This window comes from Homo sapiens, chromosome 1 (genome assembly GCF_000001405.40).
Source record: "Homo sapiens chromosome 1, GRCh38.p14 Primary Assembly".
Lineage (NCBI taxonomy): Eukaryota > Metazoa > Chordata > Mammalia > Primates > Hominidae > Homo > Homo sapiens.
Window position 1 is genome coordinate 146495723 of NC_000001.11, and position 17141 is coordinate 146512863.

The following is a 17141-nucleotide window of genomic DNA, read 5'->3' on the forward strand; positions in this document are numbered from 1 at the left end:
CCATGTCCCCGTCTCTTAGGGAAGGGTGTGCAGGGCCATGGGAAGAACCCTGGAGGTGAGATACAGGAAGGACCTCAGACCACATCCACATCCAGTTCTGCCTTTTACAACAGAGGAGCAGTGATGCCACAGGGCTGACTTAACTAAAGCCACATGACTTGCTATTGACAACCCTGAAACTAGAACCCACGCACGAAGTCCCTTTCAATAAGTTGGAGAGAAGGGAGAGTCAATTCTCCAATCTGGAGTTCTTGACAGTCACTAGAGGTTGCTGGGTCACCTTGGCTAGGATAGGAATGAGCTTTTACAAAGAAATATGATGTCACTGCTACTTGTTTTGTCGGTAAAATTAAAAATGAGAAAAGACAAAAGAAATATTATGTGTTCTTCCAAAAAGGATCAGAAAAAAAGGAAAAGGAAAGAGTCAAATGGAATTACAAAGGAAGGGTGGTGATTGTAACCATGGCCCAACTTATTATCCCTAATTCCCTGAAGTTGATTCCATACCTGGTTACACCTTAAGGCATTTCTAGAAATATTCTCAATATCTGATCGACAAAACTCTGAAGTAGAAAGTGAAAAGGATTAGTTTGTGTTTTATTACATTCTCCTCTCCCTGTTATATTTTTCCCAAAGTGGTTTGTTGGGAAAGATTTCTTTTTAGTATTTTATGCCAGCGTCAAGGGTAGCATAAAAAAGTATTCATATATCATCTCTTCCTGAGTTTCAGTTTTATTATTATTATTATTATTATTATTATTTCTTTTTTTTTTTTAGATAGAGTCTTGCTCTGTCACCCAGGCTGGAGTGTAGTGGTGCGATCTCAGCTCACTGTAACCTCTGTCTTCCAGGCTCAAGCGATTCTCCTGCCTCAGCTTCCCAAGTAGCTGGGATTACAGGCACGTGCCATCACGCCCGGCTAATTTTTGTATTTTTAGTGGAGACAGGGTTTCGCCATGTTGGTCAGACTGGTCTCGAACTCCTGACCTCAGATGATCCACCCTCCTTGGCCTCCCAAAGTGTTGGAATTAAGAGGCATGAGCCACCATGCCCGGCCGAGTTTCAGTTTTTACTTATTATTATATTCTCTCTAGTTGAGTGAGAACTACGAGTTCTCTTTGAGGATTTGGCTGAATGAAAAGAATTGAGCAAAGCAGAATTTTTACACTGCAGTGCTGAACCCATTCATGGGCTCTGGAATCAGTGTGTGGAAATGTAAACTGCAGGATTTATTTTAAAATTGAAAAGAAAGGTGGGCATGACGGCTCATGCCTAAATCCCAGATCTTTGGGAAGCCAAGGTGGATGGATCACTTGAGGCCAGGAGTTCGAAATCAGCCTTCCCAACATGGTGAAACCATGCCTCTACTAAAAAAATACAAAAATTAACCAAGTGTGGTGGCATGCACCTGTAATCCCAGCTACTCAGGAGGCTGAGGCATGAGAATTGTTGAAGCTGCGAGACGGAGGTTGCAGTGAGCCGAGACTGCGCCACTGCACTCCAGCCTGGGTGACAGAGAGAGACTCTGTCTTAAAAATAAAATAAAATAAAACAAAACATAAAATACAATAAAATAAAATTGAACAGAAAATACTAAATTTGAATATGTGTAATATACGAGGTATTGTTTTCTGTATACTGGGTTTCAATATAATGACTATTTCTTATTTTACTTGTATTTAAAATTAAGCAAGTGTGCTTTAAGTAGAGAGACTATAGGTCTAATCCACCTATTTTCTTGTTTTTCTTTTTTATTTTTTTCTACATTCTACAAATACTACTGTTGAGAGGTGAATACAGATCCCATCAATGTCTGATGGATGCTCAGCCTTTTGTGTGGAGTAGCCACACAAGTGGTCATCTCCATGTTGAAAACCTGAGGTCAGAGTAGACCAGTGGTCCTTGTCATCTTCGGTTGTATATTAGAATATCATGGAAGTTTTTTAAAGGTACTGATGCTCACATCACACCCCAGACCATTTAAGTGAGAATCTCAAGATGTCAGTTCAAGGCATTCATGTTTATTGAAATCTCACCAGGTGCTTATTACATGGTAGCAGGATTTAGAGACAATGAATGAACCAACCTGATTTCCCATCATTTTCTTTCCTATCCTCATTTCTCTCGTGATTGCCTTCATTCTCTGTGGCTGTATGGATTTTAGTCTTTCTTCTGACAATTTCGGTTAAATCTCTCACTTGGGCTTGTCTGAGGCAAAGTCTGTCCTGTAGATAGGTTCTTGTCTATCATCTTATGTAGACATAAAGCTGACCCCTGGACTCACTTTTCTCAAAGTTAATTCATTAAATGCTCTCGTATTTCTCTGTCCTCAAGATTCACCTGAGTTGTGTTTTAGATTCTAACTGAGCTTGTAGAAGTAGATATGTGAATAAAAAGGAGAGAGGTGAGAATGTACCTCGTGGTCTATGCAGGTTCAAAGTCCTGCCCTGCCCTCTGCATCTACCTTCGGCTGAGGTTCCTTTGGAATGTCATAAATGTTCTCCAGTTAATGTCAGCTAAGTGACTCCATGAGGAGCAGGCACAGTCCCTGGAAACTTCATCCACGTTGGCATAAGTTTGCCCATCTGGAGCTGAAGACACACCTGACTCCAGGCTAGTAGGGAACTCTCTTCTGTGACCCAGGTTCTAATTTAGTTTTTGATTTGGGGTTCTTAGTGCTCATTTTTAACACTTCTCATTCCCATGTACAAGGTGAGGGTTAAAGTTTGACTTAGTTGTGTTGCTCAAAAGCTGTCCCAAGAGAAAAATCTGTGTATAAATGACGTATTAAAGCAATGCTCCCAGCAGAAAGGGGCAATGGAGTTTGGGATGCAGGAAGGAAAGGCAAATTACTCAAGCCGTGCAATTCCAGGCAAAGAACCCTGTGTTTAGCAGCTCACACCATGCACTTGGAGGGAGACAAGGAGGCTGGGCTCTCCTGCAGCTGTGAGAAGGACTCTCAGGACAGCAGCAGTGGGAACAGAGCAGAGTTCAGAGAGCAAACAGGTGATGAGGACCAGAAGGGCCTGGCAGGGTGGCAGCCCATGGGACACAGAGGTTAGACCAGGCAGACGTGACAGCAGCTGCTGGAGAGAACAAATACAGAAGAAAAAAGCAGTGGGAGAAGGAGCTGTCATCACAGACAGAGAGAAATAAGGAGTGAGTGCAGCTAAGAGCCATAGATGTGATTACCTTCGTACTCTAAGCTTGCAGGCCAGGGAATCTGCAGGCCAGTCTCCACTTGCTGAATGGGAGCTTTCTTTTGGTCATCTTCGGTTTTAGGACACTTGAGGCATGAATGTGGCCAGTGACTTGATGCCCATGTGTGTTGTCAGCTGAGCCTTCAATAGCATCACCTTCCAGCTGGGGAGGGTTCTTCATTCCAAGGGAAGTCTCTAAACCCAGCTCTGAAAATGAAACCACACCCAACAGCGTTCACTGTCATCCATGATCTTACTGTGACTTTCTCTTCCACCCAAGAGGATCATCAGAGAAGGAAAGCGGCCTTGAACAAGAAAATCCAAGGGGTAAAGGGAAGCCAAGAAAGACATTTGGGTACTTTCTGTATTGTTGATTTTTCATGCATCACCCAGTAATGACAAGATTGCCAGGAGGAAAAGGTGATCCCAACTGACAAACATATTCAAAAAATTTAGGATTAATAAACCCAAATAGCTTCCAAGTAGATAAGACAAAGGCAAGGAAATCACACTGGATACAGGCTGTGTTTTGGGAGGGAGGAGATTCTAAAAATCAAGCAAAATCAACGTTAAATGAACATATGAGAGAAAAGAATTGGGAAGACTAAACATGGGATATTGATGAAATGATCATACAGATAGGTACATTGCATATATCTACATTTTATTAAAAATACATGCAAATATGCATAATGTATATAACAGTGACATAAATGCATATATTTATATATAAAAATCTATTGGAAGAAATTATTACATAGGGATGTGGAAGGTGTTGAATTAACATTATAATCACTAACATTACAATCTAGCCCATTGAAATTGGAAAAAATTTTGGAAAAATAAGACTATTGAGAGAGAGAAGACATGGTGAGAAACAAATGCCCTAGTAGACAGCAGGGAGAAGTCACTAGAGAATGAAACAAAAGGCATTCATTCTTTCCTCCTGCCTGGAGCCTGGTTAGTGCTCTGGACTCCTGGGAAAGCCAGCAGGTGAGAGTGTTGGAGCCAGGTGGGTGAGTCCTGACTGGGGATGTGGGAATCCATGGAGAAGCAAAAGAGACATCAGTGGGAAGAAATCAGTTTAAATACTCGAAGTTATCAGGGCATGTGTCAGGGACTACGCATCCCCCGACACTCACTGAGCGTCTTCCATGTGTCCTCTCCACGGACCCAGAAAGTGCTCGTTACCTCAAGTGACCCTCCTTCCTCCTGAGGACATGGGTCCCTTATTCCTCAGCTGGGGGCATCGCCTGACAGATAAGCACCTGGCAGCCCCAGGGGCTCCAGGAGGAGATATTGAGTGGGACAGAGAGTAAGAATGAACACGACCCAGTAGAGATGGGGTTTCACCATGTTGGCCAGGTTGGTCTTGAACACCTGACCTCAAGTGATCTGCCTGCCTTGGCCTCCCACTGTGCCCAGCCGCAGCTAATTTTTTGTATTTTTAGTAGAGACAGGGTTTCCCTGTGTTGGCCATGATGGTCTTGATTCCTGGCCTCAAGTGATCTGCTCACCTGGGCCTCCCAGAGTGCTGGGATTACAGGCGTGAGCCACCACACCTGGCCAAGAAACAACCATCTTATTTTGTGCTTTTGTTTGGTCCACCAGATCTATGTTTCTTTTTCTCACCTTTCTTGCCTTTCTTTTGAAATGATTATTTTTTCTTACCATCTATTTTTTTCCTTTTCTGTTGATATGAAAATAATGTACTCTTTTTCTATTCTTTGAGCAGTGGCTCTCTGGCTCTAGAAATCACACAATAGTCACCCTTTCCTTAGCAAAGTCTTTTTTTTCTTTTTAATTTAAAGACAGGGTCTCACTTTGTGGCCCAGACTGGGGTGCAGTGATGCAATCACAGCTCACTACATCCTCAACTTCCCCAGCTTAAACGATCCTCCCACCTCAGCCTCCCCAGTAGCTGCGACTACAGGCACATACCACCACACCTGGCTAGTTTTGTTTGTTTATTTTTTGTAGCAACGAGGTCTCGCTATATTGCCCAGGCTGGTCTCAGACTTCTAGGCTCAAGCAATCCTCCCACCCTGGCCTCCCAAAGTGCTGGGTTTACAGGTGTGAGCTACCATGCCTGGCCTAAAGTCTAATGTTAATCAGTACATTTACTGTCCTTCTGGAATGAGTATAAGGACCTTAGAATAATTTTTTTTTTTTTTTTTTTGTGATGGAGATTTGCTCTTATCCCCCAGGCTGGAGTGCAATGGTGCTATCTCGGCTCATGGCAACCTCCACCTACTAGGTTCAAGCGACTCTCCTGCCTCAGCTTCCCGAGTAGCTGGGATTACAGGTGTGCACCACCACACCCAGCTAATTTTTGTATTTTTAGTAGAGATGGGGGTGAGGTGGGTGGATTACCTGAAGTCAAGAGGTCAGGACCTTAGAATAATTTAACAAAACTTCCCTTTCTCCCTAGTTTCTAGCTGGCAACATGGAGTTGCTATACATTTTAATTCTGTATATTTTAACACTCTGTAAGACATGCATATTACAGCTTTTAAGGTCAATATTTATGTTTACCCATATATTTACCATTTTTAAAATTCTTAATCCTTTCTGTGTCTCTGACCCTTTAGCCTAAGTCAGTTGGTTGTGAATTCTCTCAATTCTTGTTTGTCTGAAAATGCCTATATTTTACTTTCATGGTTGAAGAATATTCTGCTGGCTATAAAGTTCTATAATAGTTTTTATTTTCTATAAGAACATGGAGAATATATTCCCATTTTTCCTTTGGTTTTTATTTTTGTGCTTTAGAAACTTAAAATTTTTTTTTCTGGATGCTATAAAGATTTTTTCACTTTTTCTTTTGTTTTCTGCAATATCTCAGGGTGAATCTTGGTGTAGATTTCTTTTTTCTTTATCCTGCATGGAATTCTTAAGTTCTATGAGTCAGTCCTCCAAAATTCTCAGTCATTTAACCATAAAAATTTAAATATTGTCTTTGCTCCATTTCTCTCTCTTGTAAAACTGCAATTAAATATATGTTAGACTTTTTCAAGATGTCCTCCCTCTCATCCTCTCTGCTATATTTTCTATGTTTTTGTCTCTTTGTGCTGTAATATGGAAAGTTTATTCTGACTTATTTTTCTGTTCAATAATTCTTTCTTCAGCTATGTCTAATATGCCCTTAAACTCACTCAATTAATTCATAATTTGTCATTATATTTCCCCTTTTCAAAATTATGTCACTTTTCCCCCTCAGTGTCTTTCTGAAATTTTGAAGCTTTTCTTTTCTTTCTTTCTTTTCCTTTTTTTTTTCTTTTTTAAGGCTTGGTAGGCATAGTTGTTTTATAGTTGGTATCTAATAATCCCAATATATGACAAACAGTCTTTGTTGGTCTGTTTCTACTATCTTCTTGTTTTAACTGGTTCTTGCTCATGGTACCTTGTTTCCTATGCATTTTGTTTTCTTTGTGTGCTATTCAATGTATTTTAGGAATACTTTGAGACATAAGATGATAGTGCCTCTTACAAGAGAGTATTTTAATTTGTTTCTGCCACGATTCTAGAGGTGCTACTGATGCAGGACTATCTTAATCTAAGTTTGAGGCTTCAGGTTCCCTAAAAGAGCCAAATGATGAGAAGCTAGGCTGCAAGTCTTTTGAAGGACTGGTTTAATTCTGGTTTACCCTTACCCTGAAGTGATAACCTTGCTAGGTTCTACCTTACAGTGGCAGGTGGTTTATCTGAGTCTTAAGCTAAGGTGGACCCTGAGCTTTAAGTCTTGTTTCCTCTGCCCTGAAAGACCCCCACCTGCCCTAAGCAAATGCAGTTTCACAGTTATTTCTTCGAGATAAGCAAATCTCATTAGGGCCAAACAGATTTTAATATAGGGGCTTCATTTTTTCTAGATTTTGACTGGGCAGTTTCTTATTTGATTAACTATTTGGTGCTTTTGGAAGGTGTGGGTTTTCAAAAAATATATTTCCCAATTTCATTTTACTTTTTCTCAGCAGAGGGGTTACTCTGAGATAACTAGTCTACCACTATAGGAAATAATATATATCTATTTTTGTATTTCAGTCTTTAGCACAGTTTTGGTCATTCAATCTTTGTTAAAGAATGATGATATGTGTGGCCATGGGCATTGGAATCAAGTTGTAGAAGCTATGGTTTCTTTCTTCAAGGAACTTATCATTTAATAAGTGAAGAAAAAAATCACAAATAAAACTTAAATAATGACTATATTTTCTTTGTAGAAGTGTAAATTAATATACCTTTTTGGAGAAAAATTTGGCATTGCTTATCAAAATTAAATATACTCTTTGGCTAAATTCCACATCTAATAATTTATCTGATGTATACTCCACACATACTTGGACAGGTGCTTAAAGATGTGTATATGAGTACTTTTTATTGATAACAGCATGTTTGTAATACAAAAGACAAAAAGGTCTAAATATCTATTGAGATGGGACTGATGAAATAAATTGTAATATATTATAATGTAATGAAATAATGTGCAGCCATTAAAAAGAATGAGAGAAGATTAACATGTATTGATAAGGAATAATTTGCATGATATATTCAAGTGAAAACAAAGAAATAAACAAGAAGCTTGATAGGACAGTTGACCCTTGAACAATTGGTCGTTAGGGGCACCTACCCCCTCAACACAGTTGCAAATTTGCATATGACTTTTGACTCCCTCAGAACTTAAAAATCAATAGCCTACTGTGGATTGGAAGCCTTACTGATAACATACACGGTCAATTAACACATACATATTTTGTGTGTTATATGTGTTATATACAATATTCTTAAAGTAAGTTAACATGTTATTAAGAAACCATAAGGAAGAGAAAATACATTTACTATTCATTAAGTGGAAGTGGATCATCATAAAGGTTTTCATCCTCATCATCTTTACATTGAATAGGCTGAGGAGGAGGAGGAAGAGGAGGGGTTGGTCTTGTTGTCTTGTGGGTGGCAGAGGTGGAAAAGAATCCATGTATAGGTGGACCCACATAGTTCAAACCCATGTTGTTCAAGGGTCAACTGTATATATAATATGCTGCACACATGCATGCACACATATATACACTTGCTTAGAAGTTCATAGAGCATCTCTGAAAGACTATCAGAGGAACTGCTGACAGTAGTTATAGGCTGGGCACAGTGGCTCACAGGTATAATCCCAGCACTTCGGGAGGCCGAAGTGGGTAGATCACTTGAGCCCAGGAGTTCAAGACCAGCCTGGGCAACATGGTGAAATCCTGTCTCTACAAAAATATACAAAAAATTAGCTGGGCGTAGTGGTGCACACCTGTACTCCCAACTATGCAGGAGGCTGACCTGGGAGGATCGCTTGAGTCCAGGAAGTTGAGGCTGCAGTGAGCCACGATCACACCACTGCACTCCAGCCTAGGCAACAGAGTGAAACTCGTCTCAAAAACCAAAACCAAAACAAAACAAAAAGCACAGTGGTCATATCTGAGGAGCATAGTGGTCATATCTGAGGAGAGGAACTGGGACTTGGAGTACAAGAATAGGAAGTAAACTCTTCTCTGGGAGCTTTTGTGTTCTATATTATAGTTTATATTTATTTTTCCCATGTGCATTTTAAAACCATTACATTAAAATACAAAAAGTGCGAGGACAGTAGTGTATTAGAAGGCATACTATACTGATGGTCAGTTGACCTGAGCTGTAGTTTGTTTTTGTTACGAAGTCCCGTGATCTTTCCAGAACTCAGTGTCCTCTTCTGTGAAATGTGGACACTGACCTAGCTGGTCTCAAAGGCCTCTTTCAATTTTAACATTCCCCCATTCCATTGACTAACACAGAGATACTTTTATTGCAGAAGTGCTTCGGTCAGGCAGTATCTTTGAAAATAATTTGGCCAATGAAAGCCCTGGCATTGGATGAAAGTGCTAGCTGCTGGGAATGCTACCCCTCCTTTTGGTTCTCTTTCAAGTCCTTCAGGTATTACACTGTGCTTTCCCTGAGACAATAAACTGAAACAACTGATTTCTTTAGCTTCACAGTTTGAAACTGTGGCTTTTAATATAACCTCACATTTGAAATATTTTAGGCCTATTTTTCTTTAGGATCGGGTAGGTTTAAATCTCTGACAGATTGACCAAATCTCATTACCCCCTATTATACTATACAATGAAAGCTTATTTCCTAAGTGTTTCCACATTTTATGCTCACATTCACATAGATCTAAGTGGCCGAAACATTTAACTAAATGGACTATTCATACAATCTTATTTCCGGGCTGGTCATCTATGTCAATGATAACAGTAGCATTCATCGCATGGCTATGAATCTGAATCTTTAAAAAAAAAAAGAGAGAGAGAAAGAATAATTATTTAAATCTAAACTATGCTCAGACTAGTGATTTAAAAGCTTTTTTAATTAAAAAGTAATTTATGTTCATTTTCAAAGGTTCAAACAATACAGAAGTGTATAAAGTAAGAATTGGAAGTCTCTTCGCTGCTCTAATCTCACTCCTCAGAGGTGATCACTGGTAAGTATGGTATATATCTTTTCAGGTACACATACACACACACACACACACAAACTTCACTTTTATAATAATGAGATTCTACTGAACATGCTGTTTTACAATTTGTTTTTGTACTCAGCAATACGTTGTTCTTGGGGTACACAGAGCTGTACCTCACTCTTTTTTTTTTTTTTTTTTTTTTTTGAGACGGAGTCTCACTTTGTCACCCAGGCTGGAGTGCAGTGGCACAATCTTGGCTCACTGCAAGCTCTGCCTCCCAGGTTCACGCCATTCTCCTGCCTCACCTCAGCCTCACAAGTAGCTGGGACTACAGACGCCCTCCACCACACCCGGCTAATTTTTTCTATTTTTTAGTAGAGACAGGGTTTCACCGTGTTAGCCAGGATGGTCTCAATCTCCTGACCTCATGATCCACCCGCCTCGGCCTCACAGTGTTGGGATTACAGGCGTGAGCCACCGCGCCCAGCCTACCTTATTCTTTAAAGGGCTATAAACTATTCAATCACGCTGATGAACTAGCATTTATTTGCATATTTTCTCAGTGTTGGACCTCTAGAGTTAGTTTCCATTTATATGTTGTGAGAAACCATGTTGTATTGAACTTAGACATTTGGCTAGAAGTTTTATAGAATGTTTTCCTTGAATTAGGGTTCTAGGCACTTCCTATATGCCAGGCACCAGTGTAAACACTTTACAAATATCAACTTTTAAAATTCCCATGACAACCCCATGAGTTATAGATACTATTATTATCTCAGTTTTGCAGATGATAAACTTAGGCTCAGAGAGGTTAAGCAACTTGTTTGAGATCTCATGGTTCTAATTGGTAGAGCCAGGATTGGAATCCAGGATCTCTGAATCCAGTCTGTCCTTAACTCATATGCATTCTGCTTCCTCATAGGATAGGTATATTTGGAATCTTGATAGATACTGCCAAGTTGTCCCTGAAAAAGGTTCTATCAATTTATATTTCCACAAACTGTATTTGAGTGTTCACCCATTTTCCTATTTCATTACCACTTTTAAATTTTTTTGCCAATTTGTGGTTGGAAAAATAGTATCAAATTATTGTTTTAACTTACAATTAATGCACCATTAACATTTATAATACTTAGCTTTTATTAGACCTGTACTACAATAAAATACATAAAAGAATTCTTCATCATTTCCAGATTATCATCCCAGAGCCCTCCCTGAAGCCCACACACAGCTTCTTCAGGAAATGCTGACAGCATGGTATACACATGGCTTCCATGTTTGTCATGGTTCCAAAGTTTGCTTTTGAAAGAGTTTAATTTCTTTCTTTCTTTCTTTCTTTCTTTCCTTTATTGGCTAAACTCCCCCCACAGGACCTGAGTGAGCAGAAGGCTTTTCAGAATTACAGCCTGAACTATTTCTTGAGCAATTTGGGAACTCATTTCTAAAGCAGTCCTCAGATTCACACAACGTAGTTTGTGACGGAGTATGCCCAGAGCAGGTAGGAAAGGCAAAACAGCATTTTGACACTGAGGGATTTAGCAGAAAGATCTGACCCAACAAGTAAAAACTCTTTTAAAGGTTCAGTCAAATTTATTCTCATCACACTCCTCTGGAATGCCCAACAGGCACATGTTTTGTCAATGAAAATTGTTTTCAATCTCATTGATGTTTTGTTTGGCAAGAACCATTTCTTTCAACGATTTCTTATTAATCATCTATAATTTTTCACTTCTGACAGTGTTATCACCAGTGCTTTCAGTAACTGCATACTTATAAAACAGCCAAACTTCAACCTGTGTTCAGTTTTTATCTGTTTCTTGGGAATGTAATTTGGACAAAAAAGTTACCAATGTATTTACAACCAAATTTCAGATCTTCAACATTACAGAGGGTAAGAAATGTGAACACAATGGAATTCTTCTATCATCCTTATTTTGTGAGATCTAATTACTGTATGCTCACCTTCCCAGTAATGTCATGTTAGCTTTCTCCCTGTCTTTGTGGCTTGTAGATTTCTGTCTCCAGGGGCATGGTTTGCATTGTGGTGATCCAGATATGGATAAGGCAACATCCAGTGTCTTAATAGGGTCCTGCCTTCCAAACAAATAATTCACTGTGGCTCTAAGATTGTGTCTTTCTGCATATGCCAACTGAAGCTGTTTTAGCCAAACTACCTTCTACATAGGCCTAGTGAAAATACCTTCAGGGCTAGATGAAGGTGTTTGGCATGCTTTTTCTTCCATGGTGGGGGCAACATTGGGCAGTGCTGCCTTCCTGGCTGTGAGCAGCTTGTGGGTCCCCAGGGACCATTTCACTGGACTTCAGCTTAAACATTGTTTATACATGGCCATCGATTTCCTTTACCAAGAGCTGCCAATCCAATGGCATTAGCCACACCTGCCATGCACTTCCACCCCTCCTCAACCAGGTGGTAAGCACAGGAGACGAACTGGTGTTAGGAGAAAAAGCCATACCGATGGTCCAGTGCAGTGGGATAGCCAGGAAACTTGTTAGAAATTCAATTCCCTGGCCCCACCCTACATCTCTGGGTGATTTGGATATAGGCCATAACATTTGAGAACTGCTGCTCTGGCTTAATACATCAGAATCTTCCACTTTATTATTTTATTTCCATATTTGTATATTCCTCTCTTCCCCTTTGACATTTTCTGTCATGGTTTTGCTTTCTAAATGTCTTTAAGCTGTCTTGTTGATGGGGGTGCACCCTGACGAATGGTGTGCTGGCAAAGATTTAACAAAAGGCTCCAGAGGAGGGCAGACTTGAAGTGGAGCCTTCAGTGGGCAGTGTGAAGGGTGCTGATTTCAAACAACTCATCTGGTATGACTGAACATGAAGTTGGGAAGAGATGTGCATAATTGAAGTGGGTGAGAGCCAGTCCAGCACCCTGCAGAGAGGTAACAATAATTTTGTAGGTACTTCCTCAAATTTAACTCAATGGAGGTTTAGATTGGGTTTAGATTGAGTCATTAGTTGCAGGTCATTTGTTGAATCATTGAATACTTTTGGTTGTTAAGGTGACTGAAATACTCAGTTGATGTCCTTTAAGATCACTGAAAATATTTAAAATCAGCTTACATATGGTATTTTGGAAATGCCACATACGTAATGGATTAAAACCCACAACTATATTTGCTGCCTTTCCTATGCATGTCCTGTCAAAATTATTTTTTGGTGGACTATAAGCCCTAAAACAACATGGACCTTGTTTTCCTCTCCATTATATTCTCATTACTTATACTCAGCATTGTTTAAAAAAAAGTTTGTTGATGTAATAAATGTGCAGTTGATATAATAATGTAATAAATGTATACTGCCATAACAAACTACGACAGACTAGGTGGCTTAAACAACATTTATTTCCTCACAACTTTGGAGGCTAGAAGTCCAAGATCAAGGTGTCTGCAGGTTTGGTTTCCTCTGGGGCATTTCCCCTTGGCTTGTGGATGGCCATCTTCCACCTGGGTCTTCACAGTCTTCCCTTTGTACATGTTTGTGTCCAAATTTCCTCTTCTTATAAGGACATCAGTTGTATTAGTCTGTTCTCACACTGCTAATAACGACATACCTGAGACTGGGTAATTTATAAAGGAAAGAGGTTCAATGGACTCACAGTTCCACATGGCTGGGGAGGCCTCAAATCATGTCAGAGCGCAAGGAAGAGCAAAGTCATGTCTTACATGGATGGCAGCAGGCAAGAGAAGATAATGAGAGCCAAGCAAAAGGGGTTTCCCCTTATAAAACTATCAAATCCTGTGAGACTTATTCACTACCACAAGAACAGTATGAGGGCCAGGCATGGTGGTTCATGCCTATAATCCCAACATTTTGGGAGGTAGAGACGTGTGGATCACTTGAGGTCAGGAGTTCAAGACCAGCCTGGCCAACATAGTGGAACTCCATCTCTACAAAAACACAAAAATTACCTGGGTGTGGTGGCACGTGCATGTAATCCCTGCTACTTGGGAGGCTGAGGCAGGAGAATTGCTTGAACCCGGGAGGTGGAGGTTGCAGCCAGCTAAGATTGCACCACTGCAGTCCAGCCTGGGAGGCAGAGTGAGACTCCATCTCAAAAAAACAAAACAAAACAAAAAAGAATGGTATGAGGTAAACCACCTCCATAATTCAATTATCTCTCACCAGGTCCCTCCCACAACATGTGGGAATTATGGGAGCTACAATTCAAGATGAGATTTGGGTGGATATACAGCCAAACCATATCACCAGTCATATTGGATTAGGGCCCACCTGAATAACCTCCTCTTAATTTATTACTTCTTTAAAGACTTTATCTCCTCATACAGTTATATTCTCAGGCACTGGGCGTTAGGACTTCAACATATGAATCTAGGGGAGAGGGGAGATATAATTCAGCCCATTACAGTAATGATCAAAACTTCTATATTTTAAGGTTCTAATTGCATAAGGAAAAAACAAAACATCAATTGTGAATTACAAGTATATTACACATATACATTTATGTTTACCTCGATATTATAACTTGTATTGATACAGCCTTATCTAAGAAGTGACAAACTAATATTTTATAAATTGCAAAAGTATCTCTCCCACCTCTCCCCTCATCTCATACTGCCTTATTTTTGTTGCATGAGGTTTTTTTCCTGCCAAATGAGTTAGAAGAGTGGAAGAGATGGAAATGTAGTTTGCATATACAGAAAAATTAGGTATTGAAACGTATGTACACATACTATATATATAACATATACGTATCTTGTGCTGTAAGAATAAAGTGTGGGCAATTTATCCTAGCACATACTTTCACTGTAAGGAAAATATCATTGGGGAGATTCAACTGCAAAAGTCTGATCTCACATTTCTGAGATTATTTTTTGATCTGATGACTATGAGAACAACACAAAAGTTCAAAGTGTGGAAAGTTTATAGAGCCTTTGGGGTGTCATTTTCTTGGGAAGGAGTAGGCTCCAAAGAAGCTAGAACTTTCTGGGTTGAGACATAACTCCTCTGTAGTCTTCACGCTGACCAACTATGAAGAGGGCATCACGACACCTGACTTCTGGCCAGCTTCTTGTTTTTTCCTTATTAACACTCTGTCATCTTAAATCCTGTGGTGACGTAAGTGAATCATTACACAACACTTTGATTTTGATTTTACACTACAGGTTTTTTGTTTGTTTGTTTTTAGGGTAGGTGTAATTTTTTTGTTTCTTGTTGGGATTACTATCAGATTTTTAAAAATTATTTATTTTATAGCTTTTTAAGTTGGGGTTCTCTTTTGATCAGTCAGCTTTCCTTTAGAGATCCCCAGAATAATTTCAACATGCCTTGAGGGCATATGTTCTTATAATATAATAGCATGACTAAGTGGTTATTGGCCACCAACCTAGCACAGTGAGGCATGCTGTTATTACACAATTACACACATCCTGGTGTGTGTCTTATTATGTAATTGTAATTCAAAGATGCTGCTGAAAGCAATTACATAAGTCCTGTTCATTTCACAGAGAATCGAAAGGGCAGAAGTAAAGCAGAGTCAAGCTCCTAGGCATTGAGGGCAGTCATTCTTTCTTTACTTATTTTTGAGACAGGGTCTCACTCTGTCACCCAGGCTAAAGTGCAATGGTGCAATCTCAGGTCACTGCAACCTCCACCCTTGGGGCTCAGGTGATCCTCCCACCTCAGCCTCCCAAGTAGCTGGGGCCACAGGCACGCACCACCATGCCCAGCTTTTTTTTTTTTTTTGTATTGTTGGTAAAGATGGGGTTTTACCATGTTGCCCAGTCTGGTCTTGAACTCCTGAGTTCAAGGAATCTGCCTGCCTCAGCCTTCCAAAGTCCTGGGATTACAGATGTGACCAACTGCGCCTGGCTGGGCAGCCGTTCTTTAGATGGTATGTCACATCTCTTGATAGAAGATTAGGTGACCATTCTCAGGGCATTGAATTGGCACATTTTGACCTTCTTATCCAACATTTCTTTTTTTCCCAGACAGCAAGCAACAATAGCAGCACCGTAATTTGTCGTTTTATATTTACTTTTAAGGTTTTCAATAAAGTAAAATGGAGTGATACAGTGATGATATTCTCTGCCTCTCTAGTCGGACTTTGAATTTTTATTCTGTGTGTCCAGGGGTATGACACATCTTGAATTCCAGGAGGACTTTGAATTTTTATTCTGTGTGTCCAGGGGTGTGACATATCTTGAGCAAATAAAATAAAGCTTACCTACTCCAAGTATAATAGAAACCTAGAAGACAGGGCAAGGAGAGTTGCTTCTATTACTCAGTGTAGCTCTCGGAGTCAGATAGCAAGGACCACTGGTTATACACATTGGGATTCCCTACTGTCAGACTATCCCTTAAGGTTCTCTTCTGATGAAGGTTTTTGCATAGGTGTGCACTTCTGCAGAGGGGCTGGAAACTCCGCCAGGTAGAGTAGGAATTTTTCAACCTGCTCTATGGTTGTCCAGTTGAGGATGTGTTTGTGTGGTTTCTAAAACACATCGAGGAGCCATATAACAGGAGCCAATACTCATTTTTTTTTTGAATGAATGACTTGAGAAAGCAAGCTGCTTCCTCTTTTCTCTTTTTCCAATTTCTCCTCAAATCCCAAAGGATCTTTGAATATCACTGAGTTACTTGACAGGTTAGTGTCCAGTGAATTTACAAGAATTTGGTTTGGAAAGAGCAGGCTGTCTTCCTATGTGATAAGGAGTCCCTAGATAGCAGTGCCTTCTCTTGAGAATGCAGCTAAGCACACTCACAATTGTGCCTCTGTGCAGGGGATATCCCAAGTGGCCAAAAAGAGAAAGCAAAGCATGGAACCAGCTATTGAGTCTGTAATTTTATTGTGAAAACTTGGTACCAGTGTGATGGTAGATCATAAGTTTCTTGAGGACAAGGAGTGTGTCATTAATTTTGTGTCTCCAAGGCCAAGCCCAGGATTTGATGTATAGGAGATCTTTAAAACATGGTCCCTGCAATGGTTAATTTTATGTGCGACTTGGCTAGGCCCTGGTACCCAGATATTTGGTCAAAGATGTCTGGATATTGCTGCAAAGGTATTTTTTAGAAGAGATTAACATTTAAATCATAGACTGAGTAAAGCAGCTTAGCCTCTGTGATGGTTAATTTTATGTGCCATAATGTGAATGGACCTCATCCAATCAGTTGAAGGTCATAAGGAAAAGGCTGATCTCCACTGAGGAAGAGGAAATTCTGCCAGCAGACTGCCTTTGGACTCAAACTGCAACATCAGCTCTTCCCTGAGTCTCCAGCCTGCCCACCTAACCTGCAGATTTTGGACTTACCAGCCTCCATGATTGCATGAGCCAATTCTTTATGAATGAATGAATGAATGAATGTCTTCAACATCTTTGCTTTACTCTGATGCTCTCCCCTACCCCCACAATTCCAGTGAAGTGAGGAAAACTATTTTGCCAAGCCAAAACTTTGGATCTTTGCCCTAAAATCCCAG

At 40.0% G+C, this 17141-nt stretch overlaps 1 pseudogene across 1 annotated transcript in view; it reads left to right on the forward strand.

The window, feature by feature from the left end:
- HYDIN2 (HYDIN axonemal central pair apparatus protein 2 (pseudogene)) overlaps positions 1 to 17141 on the forward strand; it is a 335703-nt pseudogene that overhangs the window by 9391 nt on the left and 309171 nt on the right. The window contains exons 2-3 of the transcript NR_103556.2: positions 9609 to 9690; positions 11040 to 11167. The product of NR_103556.2 is annotated as an HYDIN axonemal central pair apparatus protein 2 (pseudogene) (transcript). The remainder of the gene's footprint in view (positions 1 to 9608; positions 9691 to 11039; positions 11168 to 17141) is intronic.